We start from the raw sequence: 16320 nt of genomic DNA, 5'->3' as shown, positions 1-16320 counted from the left end.
CTTGTTGCTTTTGGACAGGTAAAGCAGGTCAAAGCTGCCGCCTCTGTCCCGCTCTCCTCTGCCGACTGCATCGTCTGCTGAGGCTGCTGCAGCCCCTCACCAGCCCCCTGGCAGTGAGTCCTGCAGAGGGGTCCTCATGCAAGCAGCTAAGGCACAGCTGGACTGCTTAGAAAATTCAGCTTTAATGGCCCCAGCCCTTCTGTCTGAGTCTAGTAGTCCAGGGCACAGATGAGGGCCACACCACGCTTTATCCAGTGTCGCTGGGGCTGATGGGTGGGGATCTCCACAGCAATGACATAGTTGGTAGAGTGTCCTGTGGTTGATAGTGTTCCTGGAATGGGCAAGGAGGGGGACGGGTTAGGTCATGCCCTATTACTACTAGCAGGGATAGCGTAGGGGCAGGGCAGTGGGCAGACTAAGCTGAGGACAGGGAGGGGGCCCTGACCCAAGAGGAAGCCTACCTGATGAGGGGGTCTGGCCAGGGTTCAAGCCTGCCCAGGGTTACTGTATTGGGGACTGAAGATAGGGATGGCAGAGTTGATGCCACTTTTCATTCTCTGATGGACCTAGTCCAAACAAGTTCCTGCCCTGGGCCTCAGTTACCCCTCTGAACTCCCAATGACAGGCTGGGGCTTGTAGGCTCTTGGGGCCCAAGGTGGGCCTGCTGAGGGAGGCATGCAGGATAGGAGTTCAGGGGTGCTCCCCACAGCCAGACGGCAGGCCTTGGGCATTAACCTGCCTGCTGCTTGCTGGCCTGGCCCAAATCTCTGTTGTCCTTCCTTGTTCAGCTAACCTGGATAAGTGACTGGCTTGGGCTGGGCTGGGTTAGTCCTGGGTCCCCGCCCATAGTGTAGGCTCCCATCCCAGGCCTCATACCAGCACGAGTCAGTGTCTTGTAGATGGGGCACAGGTAAAAGTCCTGGTCCTGGGCCTTGCGGTTGGGTGTTGGCAAGAGCCAGATAACGGCCATCTCTGTGTACAGCTCCTTGGGCTGAGACTCAGCCAGCTGGAAGGCCTCTGGATCCCAGCGGGCACCTTCCAGGAATAATCCATGGATATAGCACCCTACTTGGGGTCTTTGTGTTAACTCTGATGGTGCCTCAAACATCACCTGTGGGTAGACACAGACACACCCCACACACATAACAATACCCAGAATCTGGGTTAGGAGGCACAAAACTCCCTTCTGAGAGAGCTGCCTAATGCTGCCTGCCTGCCCATCATCACGTACCTACCACTTTAGCCCATGGCCTGTGGTCTGTGCCCTGCCCCTGTGGATTTCTGATGGACCCAGCCCAGACCCGTTCCTGGGACTCATGGCCTCTTCTGGCTTGGGTCTTTCCATGCCCTGGCTTAGGGGTCCCCCAACTGCCAACCAACCGTGGCCTCAGAGCCTCTCCTCCCTGGGCTGTACCCTAGCCTGTCACCTGACCTGGCCCTGGCTGTGCCCAGACCTTGAAATCAAAGGAGATGGTGTCAATGGAGATGACAAATTTGCGGGCAAAATTCTGCAGAGTGCCTGTTAAGAAAGCCTGGGGGAAGAAGAATCCACTGATCCAGAAGACAGCTGGGATGCCATCTTGGATCCAGGCCTGCAGAAAGTCCAGGCGTTGCAGCAGGTCCATGACCCATGATGACAGAGGCTTGAGCGATGGGTAGGCCTTGGCACTCCAGAGCTCAGGCACAGTATTGTTGTACAGGCTGGCAGCCATCAGCTCCAGCTGAGAGGACATCACTACCAGCCCCTTGAGTGCCTTGAGTAGGTCTTGCAGTGTCTGTGTGATCACCTGCAGCAGCCGATTGTACCTGTGAGGCCAGTGGCAAGAGAATAGGTAGTGGGCTGGGGTCACGTGGCAGTAGCTATGCTCCGCAGCTCAAGGCCACAGAGTGAAAAACAATGGCAAAACATAGAGGCTAAGAGCAGAGAGCTGGGTCAGGTGGCCTGGGTACAAATCCCAGCTCTGGCCCTTAGCACATGTGTGAAGTTGGACTTGGATAGCTTACGGAACATTTTGGGGTCACAGTTTACTCGTCTACAAAATGTGAATAATAAAAATATGGCTGAGTTGGCCAGGTGCGGTGGCTCATGCCTGTAATCCCAGCACTTTGGGAGGCCGAGGCAGGCGGATCATGAGGTCAGGAGATCGAGACCATCCTGGCCAACATGGTGAAACCCCGTCTCTATTAAAAATACAAAAATTAGCTGGGCGCGCTAATTAGGTGGTGTGCGCCTATAGTCCCAGCTATTCAGGAAGCTGAGGCAGGAGAATCGCTTGAACCCGGGAGGTGGAGGTTGCAGTGAGCTGAGATCATACCGCTGCACTCCAGCATGGCAACAGAGAGAGACTCCGTGTCAACAACAACAACAAAAAATAGCTGAGTTAGAGGATGTGTAGCACTTGGCATGGCACCTGGCCCATAGTAACCCCTGTTGTCATTTCTCTACAGTCCAGTGGCCGCTGACTCGGGGCAGGGGTATGGCGGGGTGATTACCTAATGACCTCTTGTACTAGTACTGTGTTCATTGATTCCTCATACAGCACTGGGTACTTGGCCATCACCCATTGCAAGTTGATAGGCTCAGGCACCTTGAGCAGAATGTTTTGGGTGACGTCCTCCACTATCTGCAGGGGCAAAGGAATACTGTGGGGTCAAGGCTGGGCCCCCTTATCCCCTGTGGGATTCCACATGCATAGGGGTCCTTCCCACAGGGGAGTGGGCAGGATGGTGAAGCCCAGCCCGTCCAGCCCTTGGGCCCCTTACTCTGACACCACCCACCTCCTCCCGGCCCTGGCTGCCTGCAGAAGATGATTTGGGTTGCAGCTGGATGATGGTGCCCAGGAGGGCGAACGTCTCGTTCTGGGCAAAGGTGATGTTGGCATTGTCATGCAGGCCAAAGATCTCAGGCATATCATTGAGTGGGAGGCTCTTGATGTAGGAGAGGTAGCCCTAGGAGAGAGGAGGCCAACATGGAAGCCCCTGGCTTGCTCTGCCCCAGCCCTCAGAGTTACCCTCCAATGGAGCACATCCCCACTTGTCACATTCCCCACTTGTCACTCCTGCTCATAACCCTTATGCATGTCCCTGCTCTTGGGACTCCAGGCCTCTGAGGCACTGTGTGGTGTGGCCCTTGCTTCCCTCCCAGCCTCCTTGTTACTGCCATCCATTCCCTGCCCCTCTATTCAGTGGCCCAAATTTGTCAGGCTCCCTCCTGCCACAGGCCCTTTGCACTGATGACCCACACAACCCAGCCCTGGCTCATGGCTTCTCCTCACACATCTTAGGGGAAGCATCATTTCTGTGGCAGCCCTCCCTGACTGTGGAGTCTGGGCCTGGTTACTGCCTTGGAGGAGCTGCCCCAAGCCTTCACTGAGTAATTCCACCCAGGGAGTGGCTGACCAGGAGTTCACTCACAGAGGCAAGCCCCAGTGGGCAGGGTCTGACTCCCTCGCCAAGGCTGTCTTTGTGGGATGGGATGGATTGACTGATGAAAAGACAGCTGATGGAGGGTGGGGGCTGCATCTCCTCCCACCCAGCACCAAGGTGCTCATGGTACCCCAGAACCCCAGGCTGGCAGGCCCCTCCTGTGCAGCCCTTTGGGCTGGACTCACGTGGAGGTCGTAGGTAGGCGGGATCTGGTGGTAGATGCCCGAGGCGCTGTAGCTGTGCTCAGGGGAGAGCACGTCAGGGTTGTAGAAGTCCTCCAAGATGTTCATGATGCAGCGCCGGTCCCAGTCATCAGTGACACGGCCCCCGTAATTGATCTCCCCTGCCGTGTACTTGAGGACCTATGGGGTGGGTGGGTGAGGGCTCCCCTAAGTGCCCAGTCCCCCAGGCCCCAGTCTGCCCCAGGCCCACCTTGTAGGGGATGTCATCATATTCGTCCAGGAACATCTTGAGCTGGCTGATGCAGATGCGCAGATCTCCATCCGTGAACTCATAGGGGATGTTGAAGCCCAGGGGCCCAAACTTACGGCGCTCCAGGGCGTTCCCATGGAACAAGCACAGAGACAGCAGCAGAGACTTGAACTCCATCACCTGGGGGAGGTGGGAGGCAGGGGAGGTGAGGAGCGGGGACGGGGGCAGGTAGGGTAGGCCTGCACCAAGTGTGCCTCACCTTGTGGCAGGAGTTGAGGAAGTCTTCACCAAGGCTACTATAGGACTTCAGCAGGTTGGCCCTGACACCGCGTGGCGGCTCAATGGTCATCTTGGAGCCGTTCTGCAGGATGGACACTGGGAACTTGTTGCTGGGCAGGCTGGTGAGCCAGAGGCGGAAGTCCCTGTGTACCTGGTGGCCATGGCTCCACGTGAGCATTGAGACCCATATCTGGTGGCCACCCTGACACCAGGCTCCCTCCTGCCCAGGGACCCTGAGGTGGGTCAGGCGAGGCTGCACAGACAACTGGTTAAGAATTGGGCTTTTGGCTGGGCGCGGTGGCTCACGTCTGTAATCCCAGCACTTTGGAAGGCCAAGGCAGGCGAATCACGAGGTCAGGAGTTTGAGAACAGCCTGGCCAACATGGTGAAATGCCATCTCCACTAAAAATACAAAAAATTAGCTGGGCATAGTGGCGGGTTACTACCAGCTACTCGGGAGGCTGAGGCAGAAGAATCGCTTGAACTCAGGAGGTGGAGGTTGCAGTGAACCGAGATTGCACCACTGCACCCCAGCCCCGGTGACAGAGTGAGACTCCGTCTGAAAAAAAAAAAAAAAAAAGGGCTTTGGCAAGTCCCAGGTCACGGTCTGTGCTGGGTGTCCCTGGACAAGTCACATCACCGCTTGTACAGGTAACTGGGGGTGGGGGTGGATTGAGAGGATTAATGATGTCGATGTGTGGCACATGTCAGTTGCTGAGCACTTGCCACGTGCTAGAGGCTGGGCAGAGTGCTTGGCATGATTCTCTTATTTCTGCCTCATTAGTCCCTGATGGATGCAGAGGCGGCCCCACTGGGTCTGTGATGGGCAGGGCAACACACCTTGTCGGGGTTGATGTGCTCGATGAGGCGTTCTAGGGCTGGCATCCAGCTTGGTGCCAGGTGGCAGTTCTGGAAGAAGACCCATTTGCCCCTCTCTATGGAGCTGCGCATCATGGCTTCTGCCCGAGGGCCCTGCAGGGGCAAGAGCACTGAGCAGGGGGCCAGCTTGCCCACCCCCCAGCCCACTCCCTTCCTCCCTGCCTAGCCCTGACCTGCCCCTGGCCCAGGGAGATGGCAGAGAGCTTTTTGGAGAACTTCATTTCTTCGGCAAACTTGTAGAGGTCGGCAGCAGGGTCTGTGCCGGGTGACAGCACAAAGATGAGGGGTGTGGTGGAGTTGGAGTCTTTGAACACCACTGACAGATTGGCTGTCTGCAAGGGCAGGGGGAGATGCTGAGACCACCTGGGGCTGCAGAGAGATCGGGGCAAGGGAGGGGGATCTGGGGTTCTCAGAGTGGTCCCCAGTGGGCTTCCTGGTGGGGGCTGGAACCTCAGAGCCTTTAGGGAGCAAGCAGGGGTCCTGGCCTGGCCAAGTAGTCTATCCAGATGCAGCCAGGGCCCTGGGACCCAGGGTGGGGACAAGCTCAAGGTGCCAGTCCTGCCAGGGTTCCAGCACTTGCCTGGGGTTCAATGAAGCGTGGCTCCAGGTTGGTGGCCACAAAGTCCTGCATGGCGTTGGTAACCTTGTCCCCACGCAGGCAGCGGAGGACTAGCAGCTTCTGGAACTGGTCTAGGTACTGGTCCCAGATGCCAGGCAAAGGCTCCCTGCAACAGTGGCCCACACCTCCCTGAGAGCCAGCCTGTTGGAAGGAGGTTGGTGGCCCCAGGGATTCGGCCAGCCGGACAGCTGGGGAGAGTGGGCTATCCCAGGGGTATGGCACTGGAGGCACAGAGGAGATGTGGCCACAGCCACAGGGCAACCCTGGGTGGCCCCTTAGAGAAGGCGCCCAGACAAGCCTTTCCTAGGGACTCATCCCCTCGATGGGCTCATCCTGCCATATTCTGGGGCCCAGCTAACCGGTGGGGCTCAAGGCTGTCGAAGATGACCCGGAATTCTGAGAGGTGCTTCACGAAGTCGGAAGAGAAGGAGGAAAAGGTTGGCAGGTTCGAGAGTGCTAGGATGTCTCGCCAAGCCCGGTCTGACAGCCAGTCCGGTGCCGGATTCTCAGTCATGATCGAGATGGAGCCCCCAGACAGGAGGTATCGCCACTCACTCTGGCAGGGGACAGGAGGAGGCTGATGCCCAGGCCCTGGCCAGCTCCTCCTGCTCTGGGCACCCCCACCCAGTAGTGCCTCTCTAACCACCCTCACCTGGAGAAACTGAGTCTCCCTTGGGGATGGTAGTCAAACAGGTCTGGGTTAGTGTTCCCACCCTGCCTTTTCCTGGCTGTGTGCCCTTAGGGCAAGAGATGTGACTTCTCTGGGCCTCTGCCTCCTCATTTGGGAGTAGAAAGAATCAGAAGGCTGACTGCTTCCCAGGCCAGAGTCCTGTGCCAGGCACGCAGTTAGGGCTCTGACAGTGGTGGCTGTCACTCTCACTGTCTCGGCAGGGCTTTCCGCTGCACCACGAAATGCATAGGGCTTCATGAGAGTGTGAGTTCCTGGCCAAGCAGGTGTGGGAGGCTCAGGACAGTCCGTCCCTGGGGACAGTCTTTGTGCTCACCAGCACACTCAAGGCTCGAGAAGGCCTGTGCTCACAACATTGGCCTTCTTGAACCTTGAGCCATTGGTTGGAGCACAATTAACCCAGGGTCTTCTGGCTGCTTTTATTTATTTATTTTGAGACAGAATATCGCTCTGTCTTCCAGGCTGGAGTGCAGTGGCACGATCTCAGCCCACTGCAACCTCCACCTTCTGGGTTCAAGCGATTCTCCTGCCTCAGCCTCCTGAGTAGCTGGGATTACAGGCGTGCACCACCACACCCAGCTAATTTTTGTATTTTTAGTAGAGACCAGGGTGGTCTTGAACTCCTGGCCTCAAGTGATCCATCTGCCTCGGCCTCCCAAAGTGCTGGGATTGCAGGCATGAGTCACCGTGCCCGGCCCTGGCTGCTTTTAATCAAGGAATTGTTTCCTCTGCCACTTTGCTCTCGCGGTGCCTTCATGCCTGGCTTTCCCTTTCCTTCCACCCTGTTCTCAGGCCCTGCCACAGGGCCACCCCTCAGGCAGTCTGTCCTGGGTGTCTCTGCCAGCACCTGGTTGATTTTGCCCTCGTTCATCATGATGCGAACACACAGCAGGAAGGCAAACATCAGCTTGTGCTTCTCAAAGAGGCTGCGGCAGACGTTGCTGTAGAGGCTGTAGGTCAGGTAGCGGTTGATGTTGGAGATGCGCTTCTTCAGGTTGTCTGTGGAGTGGAGAAGTGATGGCAGCGCGGAGAGGTGAGAGGAAGGAAGAGCCCCGGGGTCCAGCCCAGCCTAGCCAGTCTCCCCAGCAGCCGTAGGGGCAGCCTGGGCCTCCTCTTGGGCACTTGGTGTTCCCAGTGAAGGGGCTCGGAGGAGGGTAGGCGTGCTGTGTGCATTCTTATGTATTGTGAGTCTAAGAGGAGAGTGTACGCCAGTGAACACAGTTGTGAGTTTGTGTGTGCCCCACAGTGGAAATGTGTCCACATGGGTCATATCTGTGCAGGGTAGGAGCCTGGCATGCCGGTGCTACCTGCTCTCTCTGAGTTGGCGATGCCCGAGAGGAAGATGTTGAGAAACCACTCAAGGGAGTACTGGTACATGGGGTCCACGTTGGCCAGGTCGGACACACAGAAGAAGAGGATCTGGGTGCGGATGGCCACGGGTATGTACTCCATGCGCGTCAGGTCGATGTCCTTCTCCGTCTGCTCTGCAATCCTGACTTTGGCCTGTGGGTGTAGTGGGTGGGGGGAGGGGTCAAAGAGCAGAAGGTAGGGGGTTTGGGGGGCAGGCCTAGGGCAGGCAGGGAGAGGTGGGGGGCAGGCCCGGGGCACTCCCGGGGCAGGTGGGTGGGCAGGCAGCAGCTGACCTGGATCTCAGCAGCCTTCATCTTGGAGGCTTCCAGCACCTTGATGAGTTCCATGTCATCTACAGGGTTGCCCTCGGAGGAGCTGAGCCGGTACAGGATCTGGTCCTCAATGTCCTTCAGCTCCTGGCGCATCTTGGCATTACTGATAATCAGCTGGTTCTTGGCCTCCTCCAGGTCGGGTCGCTCCTCTGCCACTACCTGGCCCAGTAGCTGGTCCTCTAGGCCACTGCCGGGGGCAGGGGACACCAAGTCTGTAATACCTGGTGGGCCCCGGAGGGCTAGTCGTGAACCTGGTCACCCATCCACCTGTGCTTCTGGGGCTCCAAGAGCCCAGCATCCTTGCCAGTGTTGGCCTAGGAGGCCTAGCCTCCATCTCAGGCTGCAGGGCTAGTGCAGAGCCTGCCTTCAAAGACATCAGTTCTCAGTGAGACCTTGGGTGGCAGCCTGGAATCCTAGAAGGGGCTGAGCAGTTGGATGTGTGAGCGGCTGGGGTCTCTGGACAATACCTCCTTGGCAAGTGGGGGCTGTGATACCCAGGGCAGGCCTTCAGGGTGTTTTTGCCCCCTGCTTTGTGGAGAGGTTCACACTGACCACTGAAATGGAGGCCTTAGCACAAAGCAGGCCTATGGGCTGTGGGCTGTGTATGGATGGCCAGCGAAAACCACAGTGCCCAGGCTCGTGGCAGCAAGGATAAGAAGCAGGGCATTTGGATTCAAAGAGCCAGAGTGTGCCCGACTCAGGGCTCTGGGTCAGCTCTGAGGATGAGGGCACAGGGCCTGGCGAGGGCTCAGTAGGAGAGAAGGGGTCCCTGGAGGAGGTGAGGCTGGTGCTAGACACAGAGGCTGGGGACCCTGACCAGGGATCTGGATGAGGTGGGGATGAAGGTTCTTAGGTGGAAACAGTAGTGGGTAGGAGGAGCTGGTGGAAGTGCTAGAAAGGCTTCGAATGTGAGTGCCTGGGGTGAAACTGGTGGAGACTTTGAGTGGGGGAAAGTCCCACTGACTCCCGGCCTGGGGGTGGGAGAGGAGCAGCTGGGCAGGCAGAGGCAGAGCTGATGCTTGGGCGTCCCCAAGAGTGGGGGCTCACCTGGGCGACAGGGTGAAGTTGATGAGGGTGAGTTTGGTGGAGATCTCGGGCGTGTAGTGTGGGTTGGGCAGCTTGGTGGTGATGTACATCCTGAAGTCCTCATGGTAGGGGATCACCGTGTCCCCCAGCTTCAGCACCGTGTTTCCCTGCTGCTTGTACGTCTGTGGTGGGTGGGACCGGTGGGTACTGTGGCCTGAGCATCACCAGTGGGGCAGGGGAAGGGGACTGCCCTGTCCAGGCCTACTGCCACCCTGCCATCACCACTGCAGACCCACCTGCTTGAGCAGCACTGGCTCCAGGGCTGGGTCTAGCTCCTCGCCCACGTTCTCCAGGAGACATGGCTTGCCAAAGCGGATGGCGTTCTCCATGCTGCGCAGGAAGTCGCGGTCACTCAACTTGAACACATCCAGCCCATTGTCCTTCTCCTGTAAGGGAAGGGGAAAAGAAGGGGTTGCAGGGACTGAGAGCCAGCCTGAGGCTCTGCGGCTCACCACTGCCCTTGCTATGCCTGGCTGGGGTGGGGTGGTGGTGCCTGGTGGGTGGGCTCACCATGTTCTTGATCCATTTGTTGGCCTGGCTCTGAGGGTCAATGAAGTGGGTCCAGCGCTGGGAAAACTGGTTGATGACCCCGTTCTCCACTGACAGTGTGTCGTTGGGGAGGCCAGCGATCTGTGGAGAGCCAGGCACTGGACTGGGTCAGAGCTTTCCTGCAAGCAGGGTCACTGAGGGCATCAGCATCTCCCGGCCTCGTGTTTCGGCTATGGACTTCCCTCTCCTTACTGCATCCCCTTGGAGGTTGGGGGCAGGTGACAATGTAGGCAATGCCTCACCCCCAGGACTCCCGCCTCTCCCTCGCTCCTGGGCTGGATACCTAACCATGGCACAGCCCCTGAGAGAGCACAGGCCCAAGGACACTGATGGCCCCAGATGGACAGAGAAACCCACAGACAGAAAGGCCCTCCTTCGCTGTGCCTTTTTGTCCTCTTGCCTACTGAGTGCTCACTTGATGAGACCATCTTCATAGAGCCCATACCCCACTGACCCTCCTGGCCTCTGCCCACGCCTGGCCTCTGCCTATGGCCTCTTGGTTACCTCTCTTTGCCAACTCTCCCTGCCCTTCAGAGTCTCACTCAGATACTTCCTTTAGGAAAGCTTTCTTTTCTTTTCTTTTTTGGCAATGGCATGATCTTGGCTCACTGGAGCCTCCACCTCCTGGGTTCAGGTGATCCTCCCATCTCAGCCTCCTGAGAAGCTGGGACTACAGGCATGCACGACCATGCCTGGTTAATTTTTGAATTTTTAGTAGAGACGGGGTTTTGCCATGTTGCCCAGACTAGTCTCAAACTTCTGGGCTCAAGCAATCCACTTGCCTTGGCCTCCCAAAGTGCTGGGATTACACTGCATCTGACCAGACAACCCTTCTAAACCCTACTGTGGACACTGTTTCTCAACCTCCACCCAACACTCTTTTTTTTTCTCTTTTGAGACGGAGTCTCGCTCTGTCACCCAGGCTGGAGTGCAGTGGCGCAATCTCTGCTCACTGCAACCCCCGCCTCCTGGGTTCAAGCCAATTCTCCTGCCTCAGCCTCCTGAGTAGCTGGGATTACAGGCTTACAGGTGTGTGCCCCTACACCAGGCTAATTTTTGTAGTTTTAGTAGAGAGGGGGTTTCACCATGTTGGCCAAGCTGGTCTCTAACTCCTGACCTCAGGTGATCCACCCACCTTGGCCTCCCAAAATGCTGGGATTACAGGCGTGAGCCACCACGCCTGGTCCATCACACTCTTAAAAGTACCCCTAATCCCTCTCCCCACATTTAGCTAGCATCTGTGCCACACTCAGCCCAGCTTTCTCCTCCTGTCCTCCTACCACCCTCTTGCTGGGCACAGGAGGGTTCAGCAGAGGCAGCTCCGAGCCAGGCCCTGGAAAGCAGGGTAGGAAGGAGGCAGAAGGCTCCTGGCCCAGCCTGGACCACACCACAGGCCCTGCCTGGGCACTCCTGCCCCTGGGGTGGGCACCTGCCACGATCGGATCTTCACAGGGTTCCCCAGCGTCCCGATTAGCGTGGGCTCGGAGGTGTGTGGGACATTGTGGCTCCTGAGCTGCTTGACCCAGCTGTCGTAGAGCACCGTGCGGTACTGGCCCTGGGGAGATGCCAGACTCAGGACCACCCCACCATGACACTCACAGAGACCTCCCAACTCCCACTAAGCCACAGTGCTTGGCAGTTGCAGAGATCTGAGCTCAGACATGGAGCCAGATACCTGCATTCTAATCCCACTTCGGGTGACTTTCTTGGCCTCCACAAACCTCAGCCCTTCATCTGTGAAACGGGCAAAGCTAACGATGCCTGCCTGTAATGGCGGCTATGAGGATTAAATGGGACACAGGTGGCATGTTTAGAACAGTGCCTGGCATGCAGCAAGTGCAGAAGTGTGAGCTCTTCTATGTTCCCACTAGGTGGCTTTTCTGGCTGTTTTGTACACTGCTGTATCCCCAGTGCTTTACAGCGCCTGGCTCAGAGAGGGAGCCTGCTAAGTGCTTGTTGAATGACTGAGTGAGCGGAGAGCCACCTGCAGGCTGCCTATCATGGAGGCGAGGCCTCAAGGGGGAAGGGTCTCTTTGGGAAGGCGAGGCTGGTCAGAGACAGAGGTGGGGACTTCTTACCGTGAAGGGGCCCAGGTAGGCCACAAAGCCAGCGGCCACCAGGACATCGCCGGAGATGTTGTTGAGCATGTACTGCAGGTTCTCCACCGTCTCCTGCCAGCGCACCTTCTCATCCGACAGCCCGTTGATGAGCTGGAGGGGCAGCCCCGTGGGGTGGGCTCTGGGAGGCTGGGCTAGGGGCCTGGGGCTGGCCCTACCCACTGTGGCACCTGGGGTTGCCAGGGAGGGGGTGTGGACAGCCACCCCAGGACCCACCGGCGCCCTGGTCCTTTCTGGCCCCTGTCTGGGCCGGGCCCGCTTGCAGGCCTTGCAGGAGGAGGGTGCGCACCTTGCCAGCTCGGCCCAGCCGCTGCTCACACTGCTCACACTTCAGCTCCAGCTCCTCCTTCTTGGTAATGCATTCCCGGTACTTAGCCTGCATTGTGGCGATGCCGTCCTCCACCTCACGAAGGCGCTGTTTTGCCTCATCCAGGATCCTCTGTGTCACCCCCAGGTCATCCTGGGCCTCCAGCAGGGCTTGCTGTGGGGCGGAGGGCGCAGGATTAGCTCGCCAAGTACCCCCGGGAGGGGAGCCCTCCCCCACCAGCTCCACTCAGCCCTCACCCGCTTGGGCTCCACGGCCTTGGCCACAAAGTGGTACTTGTGCATGGCGCGCACCCACTGGCAGATGGAGGTGCAAGCCTTGGACACCTTGGCAATGGTGGCTGGCTGGAACTCTTCATTATCGATGTACGGCTGGATGGCTTTGATCACCACATCCCCAATGTTGTCCTGAGGTGGGAAGCCTGGGTCTCAAGAGGCTGCTTCTCAAGGGTGACAGGGGAAGGGCTCTGCTGGGATGTGGGGCCTGCTGAGGGACACCCTGGCTTTTATGCCCTGTGCAGGCCTCAGTACAGATTCTTTCTCCTTAAGGAACAACATAGCCCAGAAAGGCTGGCCAGAAGGTAATCTTTGGTCCCCAGGATTTTAGATCATATGATTAGGGAGGTCTTCCTTGGGACACTGCGGCAGTCTCAAGAGCACATAACACACAAGACCCCACTTAAAAGCTCATTTAAAGGCAAGGGCTACTTCCTGAAAGCAAGACCATCAGCAGGTATTGGGATGAGTGAATGGTTCTGAGGCCCACCAGGCTCATGTTTAACCTCAAGGGCCTACCCCACCCCCTGGGGCTCTTGTCCCACCCAGGGAGAGTCCAGCCCTGTAGTTCATAATAGGCCCAGGTATTTGCATTGCTCACGAGCTCCCAGGGGTCAGAGCTTGGGCCCAGGGGAGCCTAAGCACCAGCCTTGAGCACTCCTGACTTGGGCGCTTCTCTCAGAGGGACTTGATTAGGCCTGTGGGGCCTCTAGTTTCCTGTCTGATGGAAGAGGAGAAGGAGGAATGGGGTAGCCCATAAGGGGTCCAGATGCTGCTTAAATGGGTGTGGGATGTGCCCAGGGCCTGATACTGACACACAGTGGATGGTGGCCTGTGTGGGACAGGCAGCTGCCCCCTAGCTAATTTCTGGGATGCAGAGGAAACCCCCAAAGAGGTTATGAGCTCCAGGCTACTTAACCATGGCACAGCCCCCGAGAGACCACGTGCCCAAGGATACTGATGGCCCCAGATGGACAGAGAAACCCAGAGACAGACAGGGAAGCTGGGCCCCAGGTGCTAAGGCTGAGGGAGAGAGGGGATGACTGGGCAGATGGTGAAGGTCTTGGCCAAGGCCTGGGGGTTTCTGGGATGAAAGGGCATGAAAGAGAATCCCCAGGCTGTGGAGACTTGGAATGACCATGGGTGACTTCCTATGGGGCACAGGAGCCTGTCCAGGTCCCAATTTCCTCAATACCTTTCTGTGGGTGGGTCTGTCACCCTACCAGACTGAGAACCCCTTGGGGCCAGGCTCTGGTTCCAGCCATCTGTGTGGCCCTCGGGCCCTTGTGTGGTGCTGGTGGTGTGGAGGTGGACAGAGAGAGACAGGACAGAGGCCACTGCACATGCAGATGATGTGGTGGGGCAAGCTCCTCTCCAGCTTCACTGTCCTGCCGGGCGGGCCTTGTCCTCACTCGCTGGCTGGCCAGGGTGCCTGGCATGCTTACCTTGTCAAACTTGAAGAGGCTCTCAAGGAAGTGGCCCGGGTCCTGCAGCAGCCCCTTGCCAGGCTCCCAGTAGTCATCCACCTTGGTGCCTGGCTTTTCTCCAGGCACCTTCTTGGGCTTGATGCCTTTCATAATGCACACAGCTTCTATGACCAGTTTCACACCCGGGGGTGGCCGCTGCATGGCACGTACCTGCAGGCCCAGCCACCAAGTGGGGAAGACTCAGACCCAGTGGGCACCCCTCGGCAGGGACCCTGCCAGAAAGGTTGGCCCTACCAACCAAGTCTCTACTACCACAGGACACGGGCATATCCAGAGATCCACCGAGGTTGGCCTCAGCCCACAGTTCCTTCTGTTCCCCAACCCAGGTGCCCATGCTCCTACTTGGGCCCTGGGGGCTGGAATGAGGAGGGTGGGGCAGGCTGCTGGGTCCCAGGGGATGTGCAGAGGGAAGGCTTGAGGACAGAGGCATATGAGAGGGAATGCCAGGAGATGCCCTGCTGCCCACCTCGGTCACATCGTTCTTGTTGAGGTTGCGCAGGCTGGCCAGAGCCGCATCCAGGGCTGGCAACGCCTCGTCCAGGTCCTTCTGGGCATCGTCAGCAATAGCTTGTGCCTTCTTGGCCTTCTCATTGGCTTTGATCTCCTCTGTCTGCACTGAATTCCGGGTCTCCTCGGCGATGGCCGTATCCACCTGGGGATGGGAGACATAGGGATGTCCTCCCCCCTTTTCTCTTCTCTGCATCTTAGTCTCCCCAGATGGAAGGAGAGTTGGGGTGCCCTGTTCTCCAAGGGCCCTCCAGCTGTGACAGGCCAGAGAGGTCTGGGAATACCAGGAGCCCCTTCCACCTCCTGAGTGCTCACCATGGGCCTGGCGTGTGGCTTGGGGCCTTACAAGTTTGGATGTAAGTGCCCCACAGGCAGGGCCCCCTAAGCCTGCAGGCACCTTCATGCAAGACAGAGAAAGACCCTCCTCCTGCCTTTCTTCTAGCTTCTTTCTATCTACTGGGAAGTTTTGCAATGCACTGACTTTGCCGAGCAGGACACTTGACTATTCCTTCCAGAAAGCTGTCATAAGGAATACACAAACTGCAAGGTCTGCCATGAGGATCGGGCCCTCCAACATGGGGCCCTGTGCTGGGCAGACTCCGGGTTGTGGTTATTGGAATCGTTCAGATTCCTCTGCCTTGCTCCTCACCGACCCCCTGCCCAGTGCAGTGCCTGGCATAGAAGAGCTACTGGGCAAACATTCCATGACAAAATGGATGGCTACTGATTGAGGAAGCTGGGGCACACGGAGGCCAGATGACTTGCAGTGGCCAGGCAGCTAGCGAGCCTGCGCCTGTGTGGGGGTGCCGAGCTTCCTCAGAGTCAGGCATTGGGGAGGGGCTCGGGAGCACCCCAACCTTGATCTGCTCCATGGTGAGCATGGTGTCCTTGGCAGCCTCCTCCAGCAGGGGGTGCATACTCTCCAGGTCCTCCTGCATCTTGGCTACATCCTCAGAAGTGCGCAGCAGCTAGGGGTCAGGGCAGAGACAGGAAAACAGGTGTGGCAGGGACAGAGAGAGCACAGGGCCTGCTGGGCCGCCCTCATTCATGAGAGAGAAGCTGTGGCCGGCAGCTTCGGTGGCCCCCACATTGCCCAGCCGACCCCAGAGGAAGGGCATCAGTCCCCCAAATATCTGTGGGGTGCCACGCTTTGGCCTGGCCCTTGACTGGCAACTTTTGTTCTTTTGATGAGGGGGGAAGCCACCCACTTCAACGTCGTGGGCTGCAGTTTGAAAGGCGGAGCATGGTGTCACCCTGGAGTCAGGGCTGAGTGAGCAGGCAGCCTGCAGGCAGCTGACCTTGTCCACGGGGACTCGCCTGGGCCCACCTTGTCGAGGCCGCTCTTCATGCGGTTCTTGGCAGTTTTCAGCTCCAGTTTCTTCTGCCCGATGAGGATGGAGAAAATATGAAGCAGCTCCAAGTAGCTCTTGGGGGTCACATAGTTGTGGCGGGTCAGCTCTGCCAGGTACTCGATGCACTTCTTGGACACCGACTGGTGGATGTACACACAGACCTGGATCTGGGGGAGGAAGACCATGGATGCCGGCCTGGTAGAGGCCCCAGGAAAGACAGGGACTGGGTGCCCACAGCCACTGCAACCTGGGCCGAGGAGGGGGCCACAGCAGGAACCTCCATGCCTCTCACATTCACTCTATGAGCCTCACGACCTCCAGGTCGAGGTCACCTTTTGTGCAGATGAAAAACCCCAGGCCCAGGGAAGTCCAGGGGTTAGTTCAAGTTCACATAGCTGTCAAGGGCTGGGCTGGCTTTGAACTTGGACCTAGCTGTCTCCCAGCTCTTGGCCCAGTGGTCTTTTCACAGCCCCCATGACCTGCCTCTCTCTGAGAGCCCTGAGGTGGTTCCCCCTCAGAGGCTGGATCTAGGGGGAGACAGGGCCCAAGGCCTCAGCACAGCTGGTAGGGAAATGTTGGGACTGTCACCGTCTCAGGCTGGACCAGGCAAATCTACA

The 16320-nt window shown here is 58.0% G+C and overlaps 1 protein-coding gene across 4 annotated transcripts in view; it reads right to left on the bottom strand.

Annotated features, from left to right (window-relative positions):
* DNAH1 (dynein axonemal heavy chain 1) overlaps positions 164-16320 on the bottom strand; it is an 89573-nt gene continuing 73416 nt past the window's right edge. For 3 of the 4 annotated variants that reach the window (XM_017006129.2, XM_017006130.2, NM_015512.5), the window contains 26 exons: positions 15679-15870; positions 15209-15319; positions 14311-14496; positions 13803-13994; positions 12322-12489; positions 12047-12238; positions 11719-11850; positions 11070-11195; positions 9602-9721; positions 9328-9477; positions 9053-9213; positions 7967-8192; positions 7631-7826; positions 7171-7322; positions 5995-6191; positions 5597-5741; positions 5190-5348; positions 4978-5109; positions 4118-4288; positions 3859-4038; positions 3612-3788; positions 2779-2949; positions 2494-2624; positions 1455-1806; positions 877-1111; positions 164-331 (listed from right to left, as the gene is read on the bottom strand). In XM_017006129.2, coding sequence (XP_016861618.1) covers positions 210-331; positions 877-1111; positions 1455-1806; positions 2494-2624; positions 2779-2949; positions 3612-3788; positions 3859-4038; positions 4118-4288; positions 4978-5109; positions 5190-5348; positions 5597-5741; positions 5995-6191; positions 7171-7322; positions 7631-7826; positions 7967-8192; positions 9053-9213; positions 9328-9477; positions 9602-9721; positions 11070-11195; positions 11719-11850; positions 12047-12238; positions 12322-12489; positions 13803-13994; positions 14311-14496; positions 15209-15319; positions 15679-15870 — 4476 coding nt within the window. In that variant the 3' untranslated portion in view covers positions 164-209. The remainder of the gene's footprint in view (positions 332-876; positions 1112-1454; positions 1807-2493; positions 2625-2778; positions 2950-3611; positions 3789-3858; positions 4039-4117; positions 4289-4977; positions 5110-5189; positions 5349-5596; positions 5742-5994; positions 6192-7170; positions 7323-7630; positions 7827-7966; positions 8193-9052; positions 9214-9327; positions 9478-9601; positions 9722-11069; positions 11196-11718; positions 11851-12046; positions 12239-12321; positions 12490-13802; positions 13995-14310; positions 14497-15208; positions 15320-15678; positions 15871-16320) is intronic. The other variant, XM_017006131.2, reaches the window with a different exon arrangement.

This window comes from Homo sapiens, chromosome 3 (genome assembly GCF_000001405.40).
Source record: "Homo sapiens chromosome 3, GRCh38.p14 Primary Assembly".
In the NCBI taxonomy this organism is placed as follows: domain Eukaryota; kingdom Metazoa; phylum Chordata; class Mammalia; order Primates; family Hominidae; genus Homo; species Homo sapiens.
This window is presented reverse-complemented; position numbering and strand designations above follow the sequence as displayed.